General features: G+C 44.3%; 1 pseudogene, besides 3 other annotated features; it reads right to left on the minus strand.

Moving 5' to 3' along the window:
• Positions 2,722-3,223: an enhancer, noted in NCBI's record as "H3K27ac-H3K4me1 hESC enhancer chr2:81420933-81421434 (GRCh37/hg19 assembly coordinates)". NCBI's record gives its function as "activates a minimal SCP1, AML or CMV promoter by ChIP-STARR-seq in naive H9 embryonic stem cells {active_cell/tissue: H9 hESC(naive)}" and the evidence as "EXISTENCE:reporter gene assay evidence [ECO:0000049][PMID:30033119]".
• On the minus strand, positions 3,052-10,092 carry ANKRD11P1 (ANKRD11 pseudogene 1; annotated as a pseudogene).
• Positions 3,224-3,723: an enhancer, noted in NCBI's record as "H3K27ac-H3K4me1 hESC enhancer chr2:81421435-81421934 (GRCh37/hg19 assembly coordinates)". NCBI's record gives its function as "activates a minimal SCP1, AML or CMV promoter by ChIP-STARR-seq in naive H9 embryonic stem cells {active_cell/tissue: H9 hESC(naive)}" and the evidence as "EXISTENCE:reporter gene assay evidence [ECO:0000049][PMID:30033119]".
• Positions 15,074-15,573: an enhancer, noted in NCBI's record as "H3K4me1 hESC enhancer chr2:81433285-81433784 (GRCh37/hg19 assembly coordinates)". NCBI's record gives its function as "activates a minimal SCP1, AML or CMV promoter by ChIP-STARR-seq in primed H9 embryonic stem cells {active_cell/tissue: H9 hESC(primed)}" and the evidence as "EXISTENCE:reporter gene assay evidence [ECO:0000049][PMID:30033119]".

The following is a 16,907-nucleotide window of genomic DNA, read 5'->3' on the forward strand; positions in this document are numbered from 1 at the left end:
AGTTATAATACCTATATTGTAGTTATCAATATATATAAAAATTGATAAAATATGTTCTACATAATTTATGGTCTTCAATAAATAGTAGCTGGTATTATTTCATCATTATTGCCATCATCATCATCATCATCTTCATCATCATCATCATTGTCACTTAAGGATTCATAAGCTCAAAGATCTGAGGAAGTTTTATAACACTGTGAGACCTAACATGGGCACCAAATATTGGAATTTTTGTGAAAGTTGAGGTATGTGTTTGGAATTAATGATACGGGCATTTTTGCCTCAGATAAATAATATAAACTTTCTGGGTTTATTTCTTTTTTTTCTAGGTTGATAGCTTTCTAGGTATAAACGTTTGTTTTTCAAAAATAAAAAGTTATATAAGCATGCAAACTGAAACCCCTGTTTTTGGTGGGGCGTATTTTCACTTTTCCAAGGAGAATTCTCTTAAAAGGGAAGCCAAACTATAGTAAATCCTCATGTTTTTCTAGATGTGGGCCACATTATAGTGTCACATCAATTATATTAATTTACTTTGCCATTATTTGGCCAGACATAAAGATTCTGCAGAAAAAACTGCATTTGGACTGGCATATAATTTGGAATTGCCCGAGAGGATGGAGAATCGAGAAATTTTTATCAAGACCAGTTTGCTATTCAGCAAATAGGGAGTTATTCACCAATCCATTCTGTTTTATAATACATTGGGTGTTCACTAATGTTCATCTTGTTTATTTTCTTTACCCACAGTTGGTGTTTCTAGATTCTTGTCTACCAGAGTAAGCTCTATCCAGTTTCTAAGGCCAGTACTGAAGTATTTAAATCCTCCCCAATTTAATTCTAAGGATTTCAACATTGCCACCTTCTACTCATCAGCTACGTTTAACTTGTGAGTACCGAAGTCCTGATAACCAACACTTGCTTTGCTCCTGGAACTATAGTCCATGTTGTAGTTCTAACAACCACTATTTTTTTCCCTTAGACTTGATTTTCTGTCTTTATAAACTGTATAACATCTAAATTTCTCTGAAGTATAGAGCCTCTGATGGCAATTGCCCTATGATCTGCTCACAAATTCCACAGCGCCAACTGCTTGCCTCCAACTTGAATGTGCAGGATTGTCAGATCTGATTAGATTCACTTATAAGTGGATCTCTTATCTGTGATTAAGCACTCTTGATTTCCCCCCTGCAAATTGTGCTGTCATTTATCCCAAACCTTTGGCCTGATCAGCCCTCAGTTCTGGTTGTTTCTTTTCCATATATATATATATATATGGAATATATATATTATATAGAATATATATAGTGTATATATAATTCTAATCATATATAAATTAGAATCATGTATATATGATTCTAATTTCTAACTCGGCAATTCACTCTATCCTTTTGCAGTTAACAAGCTTTGCCTTAAAAATTCAAAGTCTCCACCATAAATGGACTTCATATACATCTTATCCCAAATTACTTTGAATGGAAATTTGGGATATGAGGCTGTGAATGGGTAGGGAATCTGGTGCTGGAGTTGGATGGGATGAAGGAGCAGAAGTTGTATTGTGCCTTGAGTTATGAAACATCAAAGTAGGATTACTTTTTTCCAACTGCAGGTTCCAGAAACTTTGCCATTCTCTACATGAATCTGTGGCTGCATTGAGCTATGATCCATTGCTGAGACCATGATTCTGAGTTCTTTTATGGAAGCCTACCCTGTTATTAATGACAGAGAATGTGTCTTAACACTTGAACTTCAAATTTACATTCCTATGGAATGGAATGGGTAATTAGTGGGTTACACTAATGAATGGAATAGGTAATTAGTGGGTTAAGGAGACTCATGATTTATAAATTAAAGCATAGGGTATAGCAAACAGGGTAACTTAATTATTGACACATTTTTCTTACACTTAATGCTTAATCTTTTCTGTTTGATCCTTCTTCATTCTCACTGTAACACCAGGAAATGATTAACAGGACCCCTCCTTTATGACACAAAGAGCTGAATTAGGCTTAGCTTTCTACTCACCACCACATTTTCCCTGGACCTCTCTATCAGAGAATTATCTGACCCAACAACTGAATGAGTTTTTCCCTTTATAAATCCTTTGTAACTCTAAAAGTTTTACTCAGTGTGCTGTCTCAATTTTATACTCCTGATAATGCTGTTCTGCCAATGACCAACTCAGAACTCCTCCTATGTATGGGCTGTGTGTGTGCCTGTATGTGTGTGTGAGCATCATGTGGTAATTTCAGTTGTTGCAGTAGCTATGTATTGAGTTATAAGGGGGAGAAAATACAAATTAAACAATTTCTAACATCAAATGAGTTACTTCCAGGAGTTTAGCATCTTACAGACTGTGCTAGAGGCTCCTGCCACATGTCTAGCTTTTTAAAAAATTAATTTATTTATTCCTTTACACATAGCTGAAAGTGATGTTACAGTACAGAAGTTATTTACAACTGTGCAGTAATGTGTTGCAAACTAAATTATCTAGAAGGCAGCAAAAGTACATTGTGAATTTACATAAAACTATACAGCGTTTGCAGATACACTTTTTATATGATTATTGGCTCTGTAGTGGTTCAAGTTATGTTCTCAGAAAGAGAAACAAAATGCCCAAGATTAAAAGAAAAAAGATACCAACCACGTGGATTTGACTGCATTAAAAACAGTACGGGGGTCCTGGTTCTGTGTCCCTCTGCCTGGGCAGGTGGCACGGCCAATGTCCTGCTCCGCACCAGGTCCTAAGCCCAGTCTGAGGCCGTTGCAGCTCTGTGGCAACAGGACCATGGCTGGGACGGCACACCTGCCCCTCCTACCTGGAGGTCACTGTTTGTGAGACATGGACACCTTAATTTTATTTTCTTTAGTTGATCAGAATGGAACAAAAAAAAATTAAAAATCCACTCCATTCTCCAACTCCTGAAATGCCTCTGCAGTTGGCTGGAGAAAAGGGTCCGAAGGTTACCATTTTCAGATAGAAGCTGCCACGTGTGCCCCCGGCATGGTCTTCTCCTCCCGCCGGGGCCGGTGAGGCTCTGGGGGCTTTGCCCCCGCCGCGGCAGCTGGTAGACAAGAGACGTGTTTTACCTCCTCGACGTCTGGACCAGTCTGGAAGGGACGGAGACGCTGTGGCGTCTCTCTGGGGGTCTCTCCCCGCCCGGGTGGACGTGGCGCTCCCTCCTCGGCCCCTGGGGCTCAGCGCAGCCATGCAGCCCTCGCCTGCAACCTGCAGTCATCCCGCACCGCGGCAACAACATAAAGTCGTCGTTGACGTCGACCATGGGCACGTAGAAGGAGGGCACGTCGTTCACGCACAGGGACTAGTGCCCAGCGGGGTCCAGCTTCTGCACTTTCAGCTGCCACTCCATCCTCTGCATGGCGTTTAGGGCCGCGGCCTCGTGCTGCTGCCACGTGAGCAGGTCTTCATGCGGTTGTACTTGTGGTCCAAGTCATGGAGCCAGGAGATGAACTGGCTGGTGTTGAGCCGGTCGCGCACTGACTTGTTCTCGTCGCGCTGGCTCTCTAGGGGCATGTTTTAAACCTCAGAGTCCAGCAGCATCGTGCAGGCGCTGAATGGCACTGCCTGGTTGGCGATGATCCTGGCTGCCCAGCAGTGAACCTGCAGAATCTCCTGCTCATAGGACATATCAGCTTCTACTGCTCGATGCTGTGCTGCAGACGTAGCTTTTCCCGGACCGGCTCCTGCTGCCTGAACAGCTAGTTCAGGGACTCCACCAGCGAGGGAGGGGGTGCGATCATGGGCATGTGGAGCTTGCTGAGAGACTTGCCGTCCAGGAGATAGGAGCCCGTGTAGGTGACGTATTCGGCGTACCACTGGGTCGCCTGTGGCGTGATGCAGCACAGAATCTTGCGCTTCTCCTCGATCTTCTTCCTGATGTGCAGGAATTCGAAGTAGGGGTTGGCCCTGTCGCTGTGGTAGGGGTAGATGGCGTCCAGCTTGATGGCGTCCACGATGGTGGCCAGCGTCTGCTGGATCACCTCCCGCGTCTGCTGCGTGGACGTGTTCAGCTGCTGGGTGGAGTGCTGGAAGTGGCGTTTGCGCGGATGCTGGGCTGGGCGTAGTCCTCCTCCGAGCCGCGGGCCTGAGGCACACTCCTTGGAGTGAGGTGTGCCCTACTTGCTCTCGTTCACGAGCATCTGCCGGTTCCTGGTGATGCAGTGAGGGATCTACCCCACTCTGGGGGCTTTCGGGGCTTCGGCCGTGGGTTTTGGTTCTGATTCTGTGGCTTCTGGGTCGATGCCGCAGGGAGGGCCTTCGGCTGGGGCGGCAGCACGGGAGGCCGCAGTGTTGTCGTGGGGGCCAGCACTGTCCGCAGCCTGGGCTTGTGCCACAGTGTCCATGGGGGGCAAGGGGTGTCGGGGGCACAGAGGGATGCGGCAGGGGGTAGGAGGTGTTCAGCCTCGGCCCCCTGGTCTCTGCTTCCCAGTTGGCACTGTTCAGGGCGAACGGGTGTGGGCTCCATGCTGGAGTCCAGATCCCCAGAGGCCCTCTCTTCTGGCACTGCTTCTGCCTCCGTAGCTTCTAGAGCCACGTCCAGCTTTGGCTCCTCTGAGGGCTCAGGCTCGAGCTCTGTGGGGAGCTGGGTGGAGGCCTGGTCAGGAGGCAGTGACGGCTGCTCCTTAGCCACTAAAGCGGAAACATCCCCACCCTTACGACCACAGGGGCCCCTGGAGGGATCTTTTCTGAAGGAGCAAGACTTTCTTCTGTGGGTTCTGTTTCAACATCTGGGACATCTTTAGTCTGCAAGGGAAGCTCCGGCAGTGAGAAGGACCCCAGGTCCAGGTCGTCCTCGGAGCCGGCGAAGGCGTCTGCCCAGGGCATCGGCTCCACCTGGCGGAGGGTAGACAGGCTGTGGCTGTTGTCCAGGAGGCTATTTTCCAGGGGTTCCAGAGCCTCCACCTGAGCCACAGTGGTTACAGGCCTCAGGGGCCATGTCCAGCAGAGATTCCGGAAGTGACTTGCAGTTGTTGAAGAAGGATTCCAGCCCGGAGGGAGGGGCGTAAGGAGCCGCCTCTGAGGTAGAGATGGTGGCGGGGATGGCTTCCACCCTGTCTTTGACATCCTCCAGTCCTGGCTCAGCGATGAGCAGAGTGTTCTGGGAGAGAGAGGCGGAAAGGGGGGGGCGGGTATGGCACCTCTGAGGCGCTGAAGGGCCCTGGGGCTGCAGAGTGGAGGGAGTCCGCGGAGCAGAAGTATTCTGGGGACTCAGGAAATCTCTGTGGAGACTTCAGCAGGAGTTCTGAGCCCACAGGCCAGCTGACAGGGTTTTCAGAGGCGCTCCCGATCAGGCTGGAAGCGAGGGCCTGCTCGGCGGGGTGGGCCCACTCGACAGGCTCCTCAGTGATGACGGTGCTGACCCTCTTCCAGCGGCTCCAGGTAGCTGGGCTCCGGGGGGATGATGGGGGCTGTAGCCTGCTGGTCCTCGGTGGCGTCCAGGTGCGGGGGAATGGCCCCTTCGAGGGAAGGAACCAGCAGCTTATCTCTGGGGGAAGGGGAAGGTTTTGCTTGTAAATTTGAGAAGACGCCCTCTGGAGACGGGGTGACAGTGACAGTGGTAGAGCATCGACTTTGGGCGAGGGGAGGCCATAGTCTGTGGAATATTACCCTGGGGACAAGCAAGCAAACTTCTCCACGGGAACCGGGGGCAGGGGCGCCCTGTCTTCCGTCTAGTGCGGCAGGGTAAAGTCGTAGCTGGAGGCGGCAGGAACGTTCTGCTGCCTGAGGAGCTTGTCTTCCAAGCTGAATTCCTCCTAGGGAGTCCTCCTAATATCAGCAGAGACCTAGCGGTAAAAGTTTATGGAGAGAGGCTTGGCAGGAGCCTGGCTGGCGTTTTCCAAAAGCCCACTTGATGCCGCGGAGAACCTGTCAAAAAAGGAGGCAGGCAGGCACTGGAGGGAGCAGTGGGCACGGGCGTGGAGGGCGGGGAGTGGGCGCAGTCGAACACAAGGTCCGTGTAGTCATCGGTGCTGCAGGACGGGGTCCTGGGCGTGTGCATCACCTCCTCGTAGCTGAGGCAGGACAGCACCGACGTAGGGGTGGGCACACCGGTCGGCTCTGGTCAGGCCTAGGAGATGCAGGTAGGACCTCTTTCATGTGAGGCCCTGCGAGCCAGTCTTTGGAGTCTGCACCTGATCCTGGGCGTGGCTTATTTTCGGCAGCAGGTGGAATAGGAGTCAACTCCTTGAGCTTTTTGTCTTTAAAGGGAGGGTCCAGCCCCGGAGGTTTCTTGGCAGGAATTTCCAGACCCTTCTTCCGCCCGTCGTCTGCTGGCTTCGCCCTCTCCTTGAGGTTGGGGTCTCTGGACTGGTGCCTCAGCTTCTCCATCTGCTTCATCCTCTCCTTGTGCCCCTTGTGGCGCTCCTCGATCTCCAGGTCCTTCTGGGAGAACATCCTCTGGAAGCTGATTATCATCATGTCGCCATCCCCCCGGAGCTTTTCCCTGGGCCTGGCATTTTTCTTGCCTGGGTCTTTGGATGGCGATACTTTATCATCCCCTTTGCTCATCTTCACAGAGTCGTCCTTTTCTTTTTCTGCACTGTCCTTGAATTTCTCCTTCAGTTTGGCCTTCCTGAGCCTCGGGTCCTCATCCCTGGACTTGTCTTTGAGTGCACGGGGAGGGCTGTCCTTGTCCCTGGCAGTGGGCTTCTGCTTGGTCCCTGTGATGCCGCAGGAGCCAGTCTGCATGCCTGTTCCGGTTCTTCCTCTTCTCGTCTGTCAATTTCTCCCTTTGTTTCTCTCTCTTATTCTTCACTTTTAGGATGTTGATGGTACTAGATCCATAAGGCTTTAGTTCCTTTTCTATTTTCTTGGAAGTTTCTCTCTCTGAATCATTTTTATCTTTCTTTTCGGTAGAAAATAATTCAACGGTTTTATTTAGCCTATCTTCTATGACAGCTTTCATGTTGTAAGAAACTCCATAAGCAACCATCTCCAGGAAGTCCTTTTCATACTGGCCGGTGTCCTTCCTGCTGCCGCCCTCCTTGTAATCTCTGCCCTTCTCTTCTGGGACTTTTCTTTCTTGGCTGTCTCTCTCAGTAGTGGCTCTACTTGGATGAGGATGAGGAGTGTCTGTGCCTCTCCTTCTCTTTCAGCTTCTCCGGGAGGCAGGCGCTCTCCCTGGCCTCCTCCTACATGGGTGGCTGCTTGAGAGAGATCTCCAGGAAGGCAGTCATCCCTGGCTCCTGCCCTCAGTCTGTGCAGCTGTCAGAGGAGACCTCACTGATTTTATCACTGGAGTCGTCTCTGTACTCATGGAGAGCTTCTTCCAACTTTTCAAGCAGGCTTTTTTCCATGTCAGCACTTCTCAAGGACTTCCTCTCCTTGGAATATTCTTTATCTGACTTCTCTTTGTGTTTGCTGTTAGCCTTGTCTTCAGCAGACTGTTTCTTTTCAGCCTTCTCAGGGAGCTTCTGTTTATTTTTCTTATCTTGTGTGGAGTCCACTGAAGCTCTTTCCGTCCTGTTCTTATACTTTTCTGGTACTCTTTAACCTTCTTCTCCTTGTGCTTTTCAAGGACTTTCTCTTTTTTATCTGTCACACCGTCAGCAGCCCCTGTGTCCTTTCTCTTGTCTTTGGGCTCCTTGTCCTTTTGCCTCTTGGGTGCTGCTCATCAGAAGAGGACTTCCTGTGTCTGTCAGAGGCATAGGCCTCCCGCCCTTCGTCCTTCTCCTAGAGGTCATCCATCCTCTGTAAGTCGCTGGCCTCTCCGATCTTGAACCTACTCCCCATGTAGTTGTCTTTGTCATCCTCTCTCTCTTCTGTGAATACGTCTGCGACGTACCAGCTTTTCTCCTTGCCTTTCTTGTCATTTTTTTTTTCAGAGAAGTCTTCTGAGATAATCCCAGGGAAAGTTTTCTCCTTTTTCTCTTTCCCTTGGTCAAGAGACACTTTCCTTTTTTTTGTCTTTGCCATGTGTGTATTTGTGTTTATTCCTTGGTATCTTTTTTCTCTTTAAAACATTTATCAAATTCTCTGTCCTTCTGACATTTTTCGAGGATAGATTTCTCACTTTTGTCCTTGTTACTGGACTTCTGTTTGTATTTTTCTGGATTTGTTTTCTCCTTCCTTTCCTTATCAAGGCCGTCCTTCTTCTCTTGCACTGGGTCTTGCAGTTCCCACGGTTCCAGGCCCTTCCCAAAATCGCAGTCAGACTTTTCCTTGAAGACACTCTGGTAGCCTCACTCCTTCAGCTCCTCGCGGTGTGCGGTGTGCCTCCTCTGGCTTGGCCCTGCAGTCCCTGTGCTCCTTGGAGCTCTGGAGGGTGTCCTTTTTGTCCTGGCTGGCCTCTACGGACTCTCTCTCCTCTTTTTGTCATTTTCCAAAAGGTAGCCGGGGACACTTTGTGCTTTTCAGTCTGGTCTTTTCTCAGAGTTTTTATCCAAATAGTCCTTGTCCTTTTGGAAGAAGGGCTCTCTGTAGTCTCGCTTCTCCCGGGCCCTGCTGTCCTGCTTCCTCTCCTGGCTGTCCTCCTTCACTGTTTCTAAGATCAGCTTGGCCACAGAGTTATTCTTCAAGTCCCTGTAGTCTGTCACTGAAGAGTCCCAGCTGTCTCCCACTTTGAAATCAAAGGATGAATCAGACAAGTCAAAAAAACCACCGATCTGGCTGATTGTCAGAAAGGCTAAATTTGATGTCTTCATTCTCCAGAAACTGATTTTTATTAAAATATTCATCAAAAGCAGAATCTTCCCTATAAACCTTTTCTTTTTTGAGTTTTTCTTTATCTTCTTTAAAAGTCTTCTCCTTCTCTTTTGAAATGTTGTCCTCTTTTAAATCATTCTTTTTCTCTAATTTTGACGGCCCGTCTTTTCACTTACTCTTTCTCTCCTCTTTGTACAGTCTCAGTTTTTCTTCCTTTGAAGACTTTTCCTTCAGAGATTTCTCCTTTTCTGCTGTATTCGAACAGTCTTTCTCTTCTTGGAAAGATCTGCTGATATCTTTGTTCATGCCTTTGATTCTCTTCAGTGATTTTTCATCTTTGGAGACCTTAATGATCTCATCTTTAAAGAGCCATTCTTTCTCTTCTGATATCATTTTGCTAAGTTTCTCTTCTTTTTTAAAGTGGTCTCGATCAAGCTATAACACTTTTAACTTATTTTCAGTGGAAATATCATTCTCTAAAAGTATAGCCTTAATCTGACTTTTGCTTGTAGTCCTCATATTCATACGTAAAACGTTCCAATTTCAGCTCTTGGCTGATAGAACACTGTCCCTTCTCCTTGTTTTTGTGTTTGTGTTTTGTTTTATGTTTTTTTGACAACTTTCCCCTCCTTGTTCAGCTTGGGGACGGTGCCCTCTGCGCTGGAGAGGAAGGGGCTTCTCTTCTCTGACAGGGAGCCCTGCAGCCTGCCCAGCTTCCTGTGCTCTGGCTTCTTCCTCACTGGTTTCAGCGATTCCACACTGGAGCCCCCAGAGGAGTAATCAGACTGGCTTGTCAGTCTCCTCCTTGTGGATTCTGATAAAGAACTGACCTCTGACCAAGCCAGGAGAGAAATGGTTTTCCAATTGTCTGTCTGCCAGTGCTTGGTGTGCTGGTTTGTATTGTTGGGGTTCTGCTTCTGGGTAGCAGAGCCCCCATGAGATGAGGTGGAGGAGGCAGACAGGGAGATGAACAGGGAGGGGTCCTTCAACACCAGCGGGGAACACTTGAGGCAGCTGGAGCTCCCCATGGAGTCCCTGTCATCCTCCCCACTCTCTGAGGACTCACTTTCCGACTCTGAGGAAAAGAACTTGTCAATCCATTTTCCAAAGCAAACCTCTCTGCCTTTTGTTTATCTGTTTTCCTTCACTTCTTTTTCATTTTTTTTTCCTTCTGCTGCTTGGCATTAGAAGCCTCCCATTTCTTACTACCAGGCAATATTGTATGTGCCGAGAGTCTCAGCTTCTCTCCTGTGTCCCCATGGTGACACTCACGTCCTCCTCGTCTGATGTGTCTGACAGAATATGATGGGATGCTTTCTTTGGTGCAATAGTGTTATTTTTAGTGTAACTTTTAACCTCCATTTTGAGTATAGAGATAAAACTATTGGATTTTGTTTCTTTTCTGTAATACTTTTTTAACAGGTTCATTCAGAGCACCTTTCTCTTCTATTTCAGTGACTCATAGATATATGGTAAAAAAAATAAAAAATAATGCCTTCGATGGCTTCCTCTACTCTTTCAACAACCTTCTTTCTAATTATGGCTACTTACCACTTCTCTGCTTTCATGAATATCTAACCTGTGTTCAATAACCACAAAGCATCAATATCAGCTAATACCTATTCTACATCTTGCAGATAAGTAGTGGGGTTTTATATACTACTTTAGGCCAGTGTGAAAAGGATCTTACATGTTTCACTTATATTACTAAGTTGTAATCACTTTTTAGCTTACCAGTTTCCCTAAAGAGAATATAAGCTTCAAGATAGCACCACCAAAAAAAGTCAATTTTGTATGTCTACCTTCTTGTAATAGAGTGAATTATTGTTTCCAATTTATCAGTTCCATGTAGTAGTTATTTACATACTCATCCTCATACCATTGTCATGGCTTCCTTTACCTCCATTGACTTGGTGCTTGGCCACAATCACTTGTTTTCACGAACATAATATTAATGGACAAGATATGAGTGAACACTTGAAATGAGCATATATGATTGACTTTGTGCTCTTCTCCTCCATCTTTTTCCATTGGCAGCACCACTTTGCACTTCCTCTGATCCAAGGATAATGAATAACACTTAGAGCAGACCTAGAACAACCTCAGACATTGGGGCCAAACACAGCTGAGCCTAGCCTAGATGGCTAAACCTGAGATGATGTGAAGACATCTGTGATACAGATATAAATGCTTATTTTTGTATACCACTGAGATTTTCTGGTGGTTTATTTTGTAGCATTATGTTTAACTCTCTATATTTATTACAGTGTTTACAATGTAGTAGATATCTCAACACTTGTTTAAAATGAACAAAATGACCATTATTTAAATCAACCCATGAAACAGACAGACACATTTGGGTAGAAGATACTGCACACAATAATCATAAACAAGATGGGAGTTTTTAAGAAAACGCATATGGATAGATCAAAGTATGTCCCCATCACATGGCCAAATACTGACTAAAGAAGATGTTGTATCACCTATTACTCTGGATAAAAAAAATCTAGTTGGAGTGATAGAACTGAGATGGTGAAACAAATGGTAGAGCTAAGTATGAATGTGTTTAAGTTTATTAGATGTGCAGCAGAGCTCCAGAGTAGATGGAGATCACTGTAGACCAGAAAAGGAGTCTTAGAAGAGGGGGACCTAGAGCAGCACTTCTAAAAACTTGTAGGATTTAGGGAGAAGGAGGAAAAAAGGGTAATTCTAGACAGAGAGAGGAACACATAGAAAACTGTGCAGGCAGTTGAGAATGGCCTGTGTTGGTGGGAAAGAGTGTATACTGGAGAGCAGGTCAAAATTAAAACGAGAGAAAGTGGCATAATTTGAGTAGGATCAAATACTGGGTGACAGTGAATGCCAGCTAAGAGTCCGAAAATTGTTGATATGGAATCAGAAAAACACTGACAATTCTTGAGCCAGAAAATGATATAGTAAAAGAAAAAATTGCTCTGGCAGAAGTATTTAGAATTGTTTGAAGAAGGAGAAAATAAATGTAATAGAATCACAGTGCTAGGTAGTGCACTTATGCAAACCTTAGCCTCATAACCTGAGATTTATTTTTATACCACAGGCAAAAACATGAGTGTTCTCCAAAGTTATCATTTTCTCTACTATGTAAATTTGGAAGAGAGTTTAAAAAAATAAGCAGCAGGAGGTTGAGTGGTTAGGAAAGAACAATACTTTGGTACATCTGGACTTTGAGCCAGATTCTTTTCTCTGAACTATGTTCGTTATCTGAGACACTGATTGTAAAGACCACGTTACCCAATGTAGGTGCAAAAGAAAGAGTTAATTAAAGCTGTTCTTGAGGAGTTAGAAGAAAAGGTTTTTATTACCATGAGGCAGAATTTTTCCTCAGTTCTTAAGGAAGGCTGTCAGCTGAGCTTCTGCAAATCATAACCCAAGTCTTAAACTTAAACCTTACAATATTACTCATACTCAGTAACATAAAAGTGGTATCATTGTTGCTAGCAAATTAGAGGTCTTCAAATTGCTGAAAGAGACATAGAGCAAGAGTTGAATCAATTATCTCATATTTAGGGTGTGTGTGTGTTTGTGTGTGTGTGTGTCTTCATAAATATTATGTAAACATGTTAGAATTTGATTTTGGGGCATTTTCCAACCTGTTACTAACACCTATCTCTATATATTCATTATATACCTGATAAGATGCCTTTGTTACTTTTAATTTCAAATGTATTTTTATAACATTATGGACTTTTTGAGCTGAAAGAGATTTTATAGAAATCACATCCCATCTTGTCACTGTCAGAAGTGGAATCAGTTGTCTTAGCGGTGACTGCAGTGGTGGAGGTAGGCTGGAGAGCTTTTATTTTAGTGTTTCTTATTAACGATGCCACTGTTCATCGATCACTTAGGGCTTAAAGTCTTGCCATCATCCCTGACTTCTCCCTTCTCTCATTCTCACCTGGTGTTGATTATGATACTGAAATGCCCCTTATTTCTGACTCCTCCTTTAAACTCCATTTGAAACACTCTACTTTATACCTCCATTGTCTCTAGCCTAGAAAATTTCAGTAACCTCACAATTTATTTCTGAGTCTATTTTTTTTTGTTTTTGTCCTTCTTACACATTGTTATTTCTGAAAGTTATCCTTGATTATACAATTCCTGATTTAAAAAAATAATAATAGATTCTATATCTCATTATATGCCAAATAAAATTCAAGGTCTTTAAGTTACACAACAGCACTCTATGATTTGATCCCAAAACACAACTTCAATCTTATGCCTAATATATATATGGCCAACTATGAGCCAGATACTGCTTATTACTGGACAAATGTGTCTCATGTTTTCCAACCCGTATAAGAACTTACTGCATCAGAACCAATATTTATGATGTGAACTCTCAACAACAAAAACAGTCTGATTTATATTTAAATTATTCTGAGAAAAAAAGTATATGTATTTTTTATGTGTATATACACACACACATGTGTATTTGTAATCTGATTTTGAAAGATTGTCATCATAAATGGCTATAATTTATAACATTTTGAATATTAATTTGTATGGAATGCCTCAAGTTTTTTAAAAAGTTAATTAGTTATTATGCCATCCTAAATATTACTCTTTTTTTTGCTTTAATACATTAATTGGCTTTTTATACTGATTTTGATAGAGAATCACAACTTTTTCTCAAATTACAATCAATATTCTCATGTCTGTATCATATCAAAAGTGTTTTTCCTTTAAGAACCAAATGTATCTTCATAAACTACTTTCCATTTATCAAATAATCTCATAGAGTTTTCCATCTTTTACTTGTCAGCTCTTGCTCACATATGGCAAGTAGTCCATTGTCACGGTTAAGAGTTTGAGCTGTGCAGGCAGATTGCCTCCATTATAAACATGTTTCTCTCACTTAGTAGTTTTATGACCATAAGAAAACTATATAACCTTTGTGTGTCTCAGTTTTCTCATGTAAAAATAAGGATAATAATATTCCATATGTTGTTTATGAAGATTAACTAAGACTATACATATACGAGCCTCTGAACAGCATCTGACTCATAGCTCTCACTCAGTAAGCTATTATTATTATCCACAATTAACTGCCCTAAAACCTAAAGCTCAAATGTCCCCTTGAGCTATTTTATTCTCAAGTTATATTTGAACTTCCAACAATGACACAGAAACTTTCTAAAAACATTTTGCATTATGTTTTAATTAAATGGACTGAAATTTATGAGAAAAAAATAATATCCTACTATTTTAATAGTAGTAGATAAAGTAGGTAGGTGTTGTAAGAATAAAATGATTACTTTGAATACTTGAAAGTGAAAGTTAATACCTCTAGAAAGAAACCAGATTCTTTTTGTTTTCTCAACTTTTATTTTAAATACAGGGGTACATGTGCAGGTTTGTTACATGGTTAAATTGCATTTTGCTGGGGTTTGGTGTATAAATGATTTCATCACCCAAATAGTGAGCATAGTATCTGGTAGGTGTTGTTTTCGACCCTCACCGTCCTCCCACCCTTTCCCCTCAAGTAGGCCCTGGTGTCTGTTTTTCCCTTCTTTGTGTTCATGTGTGCTCAATATTTAGCTACCACTTATAAGTGACAACATAAAGTATTTGGTTTTCTGTACCTACATTAATTCTCTTAGAATAATGGCTTCCAGCTGCATCCATGTTGCTGCAAAAGACATAATTTCAGTTTTTTATGTCTGTGTATTATTCCATGACAGAAACAGCCTTCTTAATATTAGAGTCTGCTCAAGAATTTTGACCTCATAATTATCATGGTTCTACCACCTAACAGGGATTTTGAATGATTTCAAGAGGAAATGAGAGGCATGGACAAATTAGATGCCTAGATATCTGTCAGCTTTGTTCCTGATACTGGAGATTAGCCCTCTGTAGTGTAGACATATCCTTCCCAGGCTGTTCTAGAAGGCAGAAAAAAGAAGATGCCTTTACATAGTTGAGTTCAGTGTTTCTTAAATGTTACCTTGCATCAGAATCACAGGAGGGCTTATTAAAATAGTGATGGTGGGAGGACTCAAGATGGCTAAGTAGGAACAGCTCCAGTCTGCAGCTCCCAGTGAGATCAACACAGAAGGCAGGTGATTTCTGCATTTCCAACTGAGGTCCCCAGATCATCTCTTTGGGACTGGTTGGACAGTGGGAGGGCGAGCCAAAGCAGGGCAGGGTCGCCTTACCTGGTAAGTGCAAAGGGTTGGGGAATTTTCTCCCCTACCCAAGGGAAGGGAAGCAGTGAGGGTCTGAGCCTGAGGAACTCCAGCACCGATACTGTGCTTGCCCCACGGTCTTCTCAATGCGCAAACCAGGAGATTCTCTCTGGTGCCTACCCCACCAGGGCCCTGGGTTTCAAGCACAAAACTGGCGGCCAATTGGGCAGACACCGAACTAGCTGCAGGAGCTCTTTTTTTTTCCATACCCCAGTGGCGCCTGGAACACCAGTGAGACAGAACCGTTTACTCCCCTGGAAAGGGGTACCAAAGCCAGGGAGCCAAGTGGTCTGGCACGGCAGATTCCTCCCCCACAGGGCCCAGGAAACTAAGATTCACTGGCTTGAAATTCTTGCTGCCAGCACGACAGCAATCTGAGATCCACCTGGGACATTCCAGCTTGGTGGGGTGGAGGGGCATCTGCCATTGCTGAAGCTTGAGTAGGTGGTTTACAGTCACAGTGTAAACAAAGCCGGTGGGAAGTTCGAACTGGGTGGAGCCCACTGCAGCTCAGCAAGGCTGCTGTGGACAGACTGCCAGATTTCCCCTCTCTGGACAGGGTATCTCTGTAAAAAAGGCAGCAGCCCCAGTCAGGGGCTTATAGCAGACTTAAACATCCCTGCCTGATGGCTCTGAAGACAGCAACAGACCTCTCAGCACAGCGTTTGAACTCTTCTAAGGGTCAGACTTCCTCCTCAAGTGAGTCCCTGACCCCTGTGTGTACTGACTGGGAGACATCTCCCAGTAGGGGCTGACAGACACCTCATACAGGAGAGCTCTGGCTGGCACCTGGCAGGTACCCTTCTGATACAAAGCTTCCAGAGGAAAGAACAGGCAGCAATCTTTGCTGCTCTGCAGCTTCCGCTGGTGACACCCAAGCAAACAAGGTCGGGAGTGGACCTCCAGCAAACTCCAGCAGACCTGCAGCAGAGGGGCCTGACTGTTAGAAGGAAAAGAAACACACAGAAAGGATTAGCATGTCCACACAAAGACCCCATCTGAAGGTCACCAACATCAAAGACCAAAGGTAGAGAAATCCACAAAGATGGGGAAAAACCAGTGCAAAAAGGCTGAAAATTCCAAAAACCAGAATGCCTCTCCTCCTCAAAGGATCACAACTCCTCGCCAGCAAGGGACCAAAACTGGATGGAGAATGAGTTTGACGAACTGACAGAAGTAGACTTCAGAAGGTGGGTAATAACAAACTCCTCCGAGCTACAGGCGCATGTTCTAACCCAATGCAAGGAAGCTAAGAACCTTAAAAAAAGGTTAGTCGAATTGCTAACTAGAATAACCAATGTAGAAGAACATAAATGACCTGATGGAGCTGAAAAACACAGCAGGCGAACTTCATGAAGAATATACAAATATCAATAGCCAAATCAATCAAACGGAAGAAAGGATATCAGTGATTGAAGATCAACTTAATGAAATAAAGAGAGGAGACAAGATTAGAGAAAAAAGAATAAAAAGGAACGAACAAAGCCTCCAAGAAATATGGGACTATGGGAAAAGACCAAATCTATGTTTGATTGGTATACCTGAAAGTGACGGGGAGAATGGAACCAAGTTGGAAAACAATCTTCAGGATGTCCAGGAGAACTTTCCCAACCTAGCAAGACAGGCCAACATTCAAATTCAGGAAATAGAGAGAACACCACAAAGATACTCCTCGAGAAGAGCAACTCTAAGACACATAATCATCAGATTTACCAAGGTTGAAATGAAGGAAAAAATGTTAAGGGCAGCGAGAGAGAAATGTCGAGTTATGCACAAAGGGAAGCCCATCAGACTGACAGAGGATCTCTCAGCAGAAACCCTACAAGCCAGAAAAGAGTGGGGGCCAATATTCAATGTTCTCAAAGGAAGTAATTTTCAACCCAGAATTTCATATCCAGCCAAACTAAGCTTCATAAGCAAAGGATAAATAAAATCCTTTACAGACAAGCAAATGCTGAGGGATTTTGTCACCACCAGATCTGCCTTACAAGAGCTCCTTCCTGAAGGAAGCACTA

This window comes from Homo sapiens, chromosome 2, assembly GCF_000001405.40.
Source record: "Homo sapiens chromosome 2, GRCh38.p14 Primary Assembly".
Lineage (NCBI taxonomy): Eukaryota > Metazoa > Chordata > Mammalia > Primates > Hominidae > Homo > Homo sapiens.